The 10,729-nt window shown below is 42.4% G+C and overlaps 1 annotated feature.

Moving 5' to 3' along the window:
• Window positions 9,616-10,454: a transcriptional cis regulatory region, noted in NCBI's record as "candidate enhancer chr6.4966 targeted for multiplex CRISPR interference". NCBI's record gives its function as "positively regulates CITED2 gene expression in K562 cells {active_cell/tissue: K562}" and the evidence as "EXISTENCE:mutant phenotype evidence [ECO:0000015][PMID:30612741]".

The following is a 10,729-nucleotide window of genomic DNA, read 5'->3' as shown; positions in this document are numbered from 1 at the left end:
GACGGGCAGATCACGAGGTCAGAAGATCGAGACCATCTTGGCTAACACGGTGAAACCCCGTCTCTACTAAAAATACAAAAAATCAGCCGGGCGTGGTGGTGGGCCCCTGTAGTCCCAGCTACTCGGGAGGCTGAGGCAGGAGAATGGCGTGAACCCAGGAGGTGGAGATTGCAGCGAGCTGAGATCGCGCCACCGCACTCCAGCCTGGGTGACAGAGCGAGACTGGTCTCAAAAAAAAAAAAAAAAAAAAAAGAAAAAGAAAAGAAAAGAAAGAAAACATTTGAATCTCCATGTCACAGATTAGCAAAGGTAAACCTTGGGGGCATTGAAGGAGGCAGAACAAGGCAGGCAGCCAATTCCAGTGAATAAGGAGTTTCAGAGAGAACATTCTCATCACTTCTGACCAACTCCTTCCCTTATTTTTTGGCCAGGTATGTGGATTCCCCCGCATCTGGCAGGGAAACCCAAACAGAACGTCACTTATGATATATTGATTATTTCTATTTATCTCATTGCTGAAAATGGCTAAGGATAGATTAGAACCATAATTTTATAAACAGAAATTTCTCACTAGTTAAAAGTACCACAGAGCATTCATGTGTTCCTCAAGTTGTTCATTCATTTATGCAATAGTAAAGCACTTTAGGGAATGCAAAAGAAGTAGAAAACAAGACTCAAGGAGGCAAATTTATTAAGAGTTGAATGCTTAAAACACCACACCTCATCTAGGAGTACAGTTACACCACTCTGGAGACTGAAGACAGAGGAGAAAAGTCAATGTTGGGAGGAAGTGGGTGATGAGGGTAGATGAATCTTAACTGGAAACTTCAACAGCACAATGATTTCAAGTTGTTGTTGTTTTGCCTTGGACCCCTTTCCTCAAATGAAATTTTAAGGAAATCCAGTGCAGAGGGTTCTAAGACCTGAGCCTACCTCCCAACACTCTCTACCTCCCCTATTCTTCCCCTGTCATCCCCCACTCTCCAAGTGTTGAGGGCTTGAAAACCACTGAAATATGCAAGGTGAGGGGTACAGAAGAGAAGAACTGCAGCACTCTGAGTGTAGGGAACAGCATGTGTAATTCTGAATAGGAGGTGGTGATAGATTTTCTATTAGCACAATGAACACACCTAGGCACAGTAATATGCTGAAGTAAATTCAGTGGATTATTGGGGATCACTGGAGATTAAGTTGAGGAGTGATGTGAAAAAAATGAACATTTAAGAATATTAACATGACAGCCGTGTGCTGATGATCTACAATAGACAGAGTCCAGTGAGGATCTAATTAGAGTAATTCATGCTAATTGGAGGGCAGAAATAGAGGGCCCTCCAATAGAGCTGCAGCTATAAAAATGGGGGTGCAGCCAATAGGTCTTAGTGATTGAGGGAGTTGGGGATTTAAAGGAAATGCAGTCTAAAAAGTTTTTCTTTTATTTCTTATTGATTGATTGATTGATTTTTTGAGACAGAGTTTCACTCTTGTCACCCAGGCTGGAGTGCAGTGGCATGATCTTGGCTCACTGCATCCTCTGCCTCCCGGGTTCAAGTGATTCTCCTGCCTTAGCCTCCCAAGTAGCTGGGATTATAGGCGCCTGCCATCATGCCCAGCTAATTTTTTGTATTTTTAGTAGAGACGGTGTTTCACCATGTTGGGCAGGCCGGTCTCGAACTCCTGACCTCAGGTGATCCACCCACCTCGGCCTCCCAAAGTGCTGGGATTACAGGTATGAGCCACCTTGCCCGGCATTTTTTTTTTTTTTTTTTTGATCAGGCTATGTGAAGTCTTTATATTGTACATTTGTAGGAATTTGTAATTTTTCTCATGACCATTATCTCTATTATAAATATTTGTGTGATCATTTTACTAATACCTTTCTACCCCTATACTATAAAGTTCCATGACATCAGGGCTCTGCCTGTTTTGTCACCATCGTATCACTAGAACTTAGCATAATAGGTTTATAATAGACAAATACTAGTGAAATTTAAAAACTCAGTAAATGATGGTGTCATCGATATTGCAAAAGAAAAGTAGATGAGTTTGATTTTTATCAGTTTCTTAGATGAGGAAAATAGATCTAAGTGCAAATTCTCACCCTTGCATAAGACTTAGGGATGAAGAGTAGTTGGAATGTCAGTGCCGGGTGTGAAAACTAGGCCATCAACAGCAACTGAAGCCATGAGAATGAATTAGTTCACCCGAGAGGGTGCATTTAAAGACGGAAGAGCACAGTGAGCTGAGGATTCTCATGCAAAAGTCAAATGGAGAACCAGAACAGTCAAAAAAGTAAAGAATACTTCTCTGAGGGTAAATTTGGAATGGTTTGCCATACACCCACACTTTGAGACATTTATAAACTGTAACAGGAAGAAATCCTCTTTCAAAAAAAGTTTAAAACATTAGGGATTTTGGAAGTCGAAATAAAATGTACACTTAATCAAGAGGAGTACAACTCATGTTTAAGTTCCTATCAGAATTCTTCTTCATTTTTATAAAATATGGTTAATCACCGTACCCCAAATGCGAATAGTGCCCTGTTGGAAAACACTGACCATGACACAGAGATTTTTCTTTCCTTGTCTTTCTTCTCTTTCTTCTTGTTCTCTTCTATATCCCACTTTCCTTTAGTAGCAACACATAAAACATCTCTTTCCTAGAATTATAGAAACCACATGAAATTCCATAATCTTATTTGCTGATCTAATTTTTATAGCATTCCACCTAAATCCTCTTATTAAGTATTTTTGTTGTTGCTGCTATTGTTGCAGTGATTTCTTTGTTTTTTGAGTTTTTGTTTTGTTTTGTTCTTTGGTTGGCAGAAAAAGGAGAGAGAAAAATGTTGAATGACACAAAATATAATTCCTTTTTTGTCAAAGAAGGTGCCTGTATCCCCCACCCATTTTTCCCTAGTCCATGCGACAAATAGTTCTTTCTTTTTTTCTTAAAAAGAATCATAGATCCAAGGACATTATTATGACAAAGTTACAATGTGGATTTTCTTCTATGTGATACTTTTTGCTATTTATTCTTATGCAAAATAATGTGTATTTTACTTAGAAAGTAAATAGTTGTGGATTTTGAATACTCACATGTTAAATGCTATAATTTATATATAAAATTTAAATGTCGAAATTCTACAGCTATACTAATATTAATGGCAAGGGGTCTCAGAAAATAAAACTCTAGAAACAAAAAGACCCTGCAACCACCAACAGTATTTCTCCAGGAAAAGCTGCACAGGCGCTTGATCTCAGGCCTCACATAGTGGTTTTATTCCAAAGGAAACACCAAATGACCAAAACTTGCAGTCAGTCCAGGAACAATTCAGAGCCACAGTGATTTTCTGCTAAACCTAGAAGTTAAGCCTCAGAAGACTATGGCTTGGCTCAAAGTTACTTCTTAGCCATGGAAACGTTTTAGAGTTTGTTCATTTATTCATGCATGCAAGGCTCTAAGTGAGCATTTACAATGCATCCAGCAGAGAGGAAAAAGAACCAGTCACTGCTCCCAGGAGATCAAGCTGATGGGAGAGCCCCTCCTAGCCATTCCATCATCTTTTCTGCCTCAACTTCCCAAAGACTTGGCAGGTGTCTGACTGGAAGTGGTTGTTCTTTGCTTCTATCAGTTGTGTTTATGAGCATATACAAACCTTAGAGAGCTATGATTGAACCTCGTTTTCCAAGACTAACACCATTTTTTAGTACCCACATTTATATTTTCTCTCACTCTCATTCTAAATTACAGACGCAGTCAACTCACCTGCCAGAGTTTTGCTTGCCCCAACACTTAGCAAGAAGCTGAATGCATCCAAGGATCCCCACAATCCCAGAACATTCTAAAAATATTGCAGGATGAGAAAGAATTGTCAGCAACTGAGGGAGGAAGTTGTTCAACTTCCACCAAGCATCAGGCTGAGGTGGAATGAGTGGAGACACATGATCAATGAATAAGAAAGAAAATGAGAGAGAAGATGGAGAGGATTAAGAAATAATGATTGAACACATCACCACCGCTTTGCTGGAGCAAGATCAAATACAATGGGCAACGTGACAAGCAAACAGGAAATACTGTGGCGAGTCGCCTGCTCCCCCAAGGCTGAGTAGGCCTCTGTTGCATCAGGGGAAGCAGAGTCAAATCGTGATTTCAGCTTTTCCCAATGTTGCTTTGCACACACACCAACCTCACAACTACCCCACCCTTGTCAACAAATGGGGCATGTCACCCCAGCTTCTATTTATATTATGCTGGTTTGTATGTTCTTTCTTAAAACGTGTAGCTCTCCTATTCTGTAAACATTTATTCTCGTGACCTGTGTGTTTTATCCTACGTTCATACTGAGAATGATCTTCTGGCCAGGTATCTTGCATGGTCTCAACTTGCTTCATAACCTTTCTTAATGCCTAGCAAACCAAAACCACTCAGTAGACGTTGTTGATCACCAAGTAACTGTTTACAGAAAGGAAGAGCGGGCCACACTGTGTATTGCGAGTTAATAATGTGTTCCCAGGCATTGCTCATTGCAGCTGCTCCCTTTAGAAGCAAGAATTCCTGAGCAATGACTGAGCAGACCCTATCGGTGTTCGAGCCAATGACGGCGTCCCTGGAAGGGATGCCCGATCTTGCCTTGCAATCCGGCCAGTTCCCATTGGCTGGGCATTCCGGCTAGCCAGGATTTCTTCTCCTTCCTCAGCATGGCTTTGCTCTTCTTGCTCTACACCTGGAATTTTTTCCCTAATTTAAAACATAGTCATTCTCCATGATATGCTGCCTGTGAAGCACTTCTGTGAGTTTTTCAGGTCTCAAGTGACTAATACTTTTCTCAGCACTTATAATCAGTAATGGTCTGTACTTAGCATCTTAATTTATTTACTTTCCTTCTGTATTGTTCCTTGTTTTCTGTGTCCTTGTCTTCTTCATTTTCTTTTTTTTTTCCTTTCTTTTTTTTTTTTTTTTTCTGAGACAGAGTCTCGCTCTGTCGCCCAGGCTGGAGTGCAGTGGTGCGATCTCAGCTCACTGCAAGCTCCGCCTCCTGGGTTCAAGCCATTCTCCTGCCTCAGTCTCTCAAGCAGCTGTGACTACAGGTGCCCACCACCACGCCCGGGTAATTTTTATATTTTTACTAGAGATGGGGTTTCTCCATGTTGGCCAGGCTGGTCTCAAACTCCTAACCTCAGTTAATCCACCTGCCTCGGCCTCCCAAAGTGCTGGGATTATAAGTGTAAGACACAGTGCCTGGCGTTACTTCCTATCTAGATTCTAAGCAACTTGGGAGCTCACTGCCTTGCAGCATAGCATTATGTTTATATAGGATCAGCAAATGATTGGTGGAATGGGTGGCTCCTCAGTGAACCAGAAACTGGGTAATATTCAAGTGCACCCACACTTGTGTGCGCTAGCCATGCACATGCACATAGTATCATCATGTGCTAGTTACTTTGCATGTTATCTCATTTAATACTCACAGCAACCCAATGGAGGTAGTTACCATTCCCATTTCCGTTTAATTAATGAGAAAAATTTAGAGAAGCTACCTATTTTGCCAAGAGTCACTGTGTTAGAGACAGTGATAGCCTATATGCTTTATTGCTTTTTAACTCCGGTCCATGTCTCCTGTCCCACAGATGTAATCATAACAATGTAACAGCTAATGCTCTTTAAAAAAAAAAAAAAGAAAGAAAGAAAATCTTGATAAAAGTATAACCTGTCTCTCCCATTTACCCTTCCAGTAGTCCACCACCCCCCGAGCCTTTCCCTTTCGCCGTTGCAGTATTGACTGTTCTGAACATATGGGCATTACCCAGTACGCTAGGTCTAAGCCAGGAAATGTCGCTGCGAATAATAATAACAGGATCAACTTCTCAGTGGTGTTAGTGTGAATACGACAACACACTGTATTTTCCAGCAAATGTGTCATCCTTCCACTCATTGACACGAGGACTTGTTCTTCCTGCCTAACTGAGTCAGTCACAATCCCAGCATTTCAACGGATGTGTTGTGAACCTCCTGTGAAGAAAAAATGTCAACATAAACAGTACCCAATAGTGAGAACTATAAGGTTTTCAGGCTCTCGACAGGGATTAGATTGCTTGATTCTGAAGCTTCTGAGACATAGATACCACAAAGAGTGTGACAATTGCCAATTGACAGCTGAAAGACACCAAGGCTGAGGGAAGTTAAGTGATTTACGCAAGGTGAATAAGTTAGTAAGTGGGAGAGCCTTTACTAGAACCAGGTTTTTTGTTTGTTTGTTTTTTTGAGACAGTCTTGCTCTGTTGCCCAGGCTGCAGTGCAGTGGCCCGATCTCTGCTGACTGCCACCTCCGCCTCCCAAGTTCAAACAATTCTCCTGTCTCAGCCTCCCAAGTAGCTGGGATTACAGGCATGCACCACCATGCCTGGGTAATTTTTGTGTTTTTAGTAGAGATGGGGTTTCACCATGTTAGCCAGGCTGGTCTAGAACCACTGACCTGAAGTGATCCACCTGCCCCAGCCTCCCGAAGTGCTAGGATTACAGGCGTGAGCTACTGCGCCCAGCCTAGGGTTTTGTTGTTGTTGTTGTTGTTGTTGTTGTTTTAATTTTTATTTCTTTATTTATGAGACAGAGTCTCACTTTGTCACCCAGGCTGGAGTGCAGTGGCACAATCTCAATTCACTGCAGCCTCAAACTCCCCAGGCTCAAGTGATCCTCCCACCTCAGCCTCCTAAGTAGCTGGGACTACAGGCATGTGCCACCACACCCAGCTAATTTTTTATTTTTTGTAAAGATGATGTCTCACTATGTTGCCCAGGCTGGTCTCGAACTCCTGGGATCAAGTGATCCACCCACCTCGGCCTCCCAAAGTGAGGGATTACAGGCGTGAGCCACCACGGCTGGCCTATGTTTTTCAAATTGTCATCTTTCTCCCACATGTCTGGAGAGGAAGAGTCGAATGAAATAGAACTATTCATACGACAGGGCCTGGACAAGGGTAAATGTGCACAAGAAGCTAAGAGCTCTCAGGAGTGTGGAGAGAAGCCCCCTTTAGCAAGAGAAGAAAGATCCTAACACAGCCCAGGGCAGGAGACAGGGAGGGAGGGCAGAAGAGTGGGCACCTGCAACTTGGAACTTGGCAGGAGAGACTGTTCTCCAATGTTCCTGTTCAGAAAGCAAATGTATTTGAAATGCTGAGGACTCCACATATATTCTGTTAATAATTTACCAACTGAAACCATTAAAGATGTTGACAAAAGACAAAAGCTTTTCCATTTACTATGGGTGTCTGTGGGTGATTTGAAACCACTCATTACCTTTATAAGCTCCTGGGTTAGTTCTGGGTGTCCCGGCTAATTGGCAACAGCAAGAGGCACCTTGGACCAGCAGCGGATAGAGTTTTGGTTTGAACATGCGACTACCCTGATTCCACATTCAGGCGTTTTGTCATGAATTCACCGAGGGACTGTTGGTCCAGGCCTCTGTAGGCAAATTATATTTGCCAATAGATGACATTTATAGTGTAACTGGATATCCCTGGATGAGAAGCTAAAAATGAAAAAGTAAATATGTTTTCCCAGAAGAAGCCCATCAAGATGTCACCAGAGTTGAACACACAATGGAAGCAAGGAAGTAGAACATTCCTGTAATCAAATAATGTTATTCTTTCAGAGACTTCGAAGTATACAGGGACCAAAATTCCTGAAGTGAAAGGAACAAACTGCTCTTACTGAGCAGGATGAATGAATTCTCTCAAGCTATGATTTGTAAATAAGGCCCAAGCAGTACAGTACTTGCTATTTTAAAGTTCTGGATTCTTGTTCCATTTCTGCCACCCCCAGGCTCCTTGGATAAGTGTATCAGTTAGGATGCATTTTGGCTACAAATTACACAAAAATGCAACTAAAGTAGTTTAAACAGTGAGAACACTTATCATTTTTTATGGCATGAGGGCCAGAGTTATGAAAGTTCCAGGACAGTTAGGTTGGCAGCTCCATGATCTGTGACCATCTTTCCAGTCCGTCACACCTCATGGACAAGGTCATCCTTACAGGCTAGCTTCCTCCATGGCCCTAAGACAGTTACTGGAATGTCCACGCCACACAGAGATACTGAGGTCCAGAGGTGGGAAGGGAATGTCCACTAGGTGTGTCTCTTTGGAAAGTGAAGAAAACTTTCCAAAAAGCTTGGTCAGACCATATTACATACCTAAGCATAAACCCAATCATTTAGCAAGGCAGATAGATAGTATCTCCATAGTTGACTTACCTACTCAAGATGCACCGCCCCGCCCTCATCCTGAGGCTGAAGAGGGGCCCTAGCCTGCCTTCAGGCACATGGGCACTCAGAGGAGGGAAACCAAATTAGAGGAAAAGAGGAGAGATCAGTTTTGCAAGCAACGGGGTGATCTGTCACATCAAGCAACCTACCACCTTCTTTATGGCTCAGTCTCCTTATGTCATTGGGTAAAAACTAGACTAGAGCTGCCCTCTAAGTTTCCTCCTCCTGCTAAAGGTCCACAATTTGAAGATGAAGATGACAATATTACCCCCTATTTAATGGGAGAAGCAACACTATTTAATGAAATAATAGAATTTTCCCAGAAAATAGAAGAGATTAGAAGGAATTAATATACAATATGTCAAATCAATGACCTCACTCTTAAAGTCCAGAATGAGGTATATCATCCATTAATCTCTACATTTCTGTAAGATAAACAAGGCTATATAAGGAGAGGTAAACTGAGGCAGAGAGAAGCATAATGAGTAGCCCACAGTCACATCACTATCCCACCTATCCCCCTGCAAGAGTTCAAAGGAGGGGAGCTCTGATTTTGCCCAAATCATTAAGTTACAGGTGGCAAAAGTCATGCCTATAGCGGCAGCCTCCAGCTCACCCACATAGGGTGCAACAATGATCTGCTCAGGCTTGGGGAGAAAATATTGGAATTTCTTTTCTTTTTTTTTTTGAGACGGAGTCTCGCTGTGTTTCCCAGGCTGGAGTGCAGTGGCATGATCTTGGCTCACTGCAAGCTCCGCCTTCCGGGTTCATGCCATTCTCCTGCCTCAGCCTCCCAAGTAGCTGGGACTTCAGGTGCCCGCCACCACACCTGGCTAATTTTTTTGTATTTCTAGTAGAGACAGGGTTTCACCATGTTGGCCAGGATGGTCTTGATCTCTTGACCTCGTGATCCACCTGCCTTGGCCTCCCAAAGTGCTGGGATTACAGGCGGGAGCCACCACGCCCGGCCTGGAATTTCTATTTCTGTTTTTATATCATCTTCTTTTAATTTATATATATATATAATGTTTTATAATGTACATGATATGCTAACACAGAAGTGCATGCAGATAATTGATGGCTATATAAAAAGAGAAGATGTGGGCTGATAAATTTTTTACTTATAGGATGCAGTTAAAAACTTTCCAGATAACTAGTATAGATCATACTAACATTTTGATGGCTTCAACTGTACCACAGAACTGAAAGGGAAAGAAATACGTGCAGAAACTGGAACAACTGCATTTGTGAATGCTCCACACTGATAAAGTAAGGTAGCACCTAATCTGGATTTAGAATACTGTATTTGCAGCCAAACAGAGATTATCAGCTTGTTTTTATTTGTTGATCCTTTCAAAGGCTCTTACTTCTGTTTACCAGGAGACCACTTCTATCATTGTTTTCCTCTCCTCACTCCCCTCCCTTTTTCAAAGAATCTCCTATTTTAAGAAGTGTTAGGCTTGGCCTATCTGGTGCAACATAAATTTAGCTTACCAGGGCAGTCAGGAAGTCAGAACAGCTTTGTGGGTTCCCACAGTTTGTTTGCTCATTCGATTAACAATCGTGCATCTACTAAGTGCTAGACATGAGGCTGCAAAGATATTCCAAGACTCCTGGAGTCCAGTGTCAAGAAGGAGGACTCCCCAGTCGAGAGAGAGACTGAGAAAGTGGTACACTAGCTGGCTACAAAGAAAGAAGACGAAGAGCAGCCCATTGAGGGGGGGTGCCAGGAAGTCAGAGCTGGATAGGAGTGGGTATCAGGAAACCTCTCTAGGAAGAAATGGCTCTTAACCCTTGACTGAGAGGAGCAGGCCAAGTGCCACTTTTCTTTCATCAGAAGAAAAATAAAATGGCAAGGCACTGCACTCTCACCTGAGCAAGCAGATGCAGCTTGGAGAGAGGAGTTTCTTTCTTCCTTTCAGTGTACCTTATCTCTGTCTCCTTCCAGCTTTGCATGGCTCTGAAGGTGTGGTCTGGGTGTGTATCTTACACTCAGCAGACTGCAGCTTTCCCGGGACACACGAGCTGCGTTGCCTAGCCCAGCCCAGTGCACTTAAAGACACCCAGAACACGCAGCTCCCACCAGTGCCCAAGCGCTTAAAGGCAAATGTGTCTCGGGGGCCTTTGCAGAAAAGAAAATCAAACAGCAATGATTTTGACAGATGTGAGGCTAGGAGAGTGAGTTGAGAAACAACTGAATTTCATTCTGTTTAATCCCATGTATACGTCACTTAACGGGTTAAAAAAAGGCTGATTCAATGAGTTTAATCGTAAAATCTGCTGTAAGCAAATTGTAACCTAACCTTCAAATTCATTCCAATGAGCCCACATTTTTAAACTGTACACTGGAAGAAAGACTAAACTTTTTACTCAGAAAAGGTTGTTTTTCTTCCATCCTCTTCCCTTCTTCCACACTTCTTTCTTTCCAGGGCTTAGTGCAATAGTGGCTTAGAATCAGGCTTCCTGCTTTAATTCA

The sequence above is a fragment of the Homo sapiens genome, chromosome 6, assembly GCF_000001405.40.
Source record: "Homo sapiens chromosome 6, GRCh38.p14 Primary Assembly".
Classification (NCBI taxonomy): domain Eukaryota; kingdom Metazoa; phylum Chordata; class Mammalia; order Primates; family Hominidae; genus Homo; species Homo sapiens.
The sequence above is the reverse complement of the archived record's forward strand: the minus strand, read 5'-3'. Positions and strand labels throughout refer to the sequence as shown.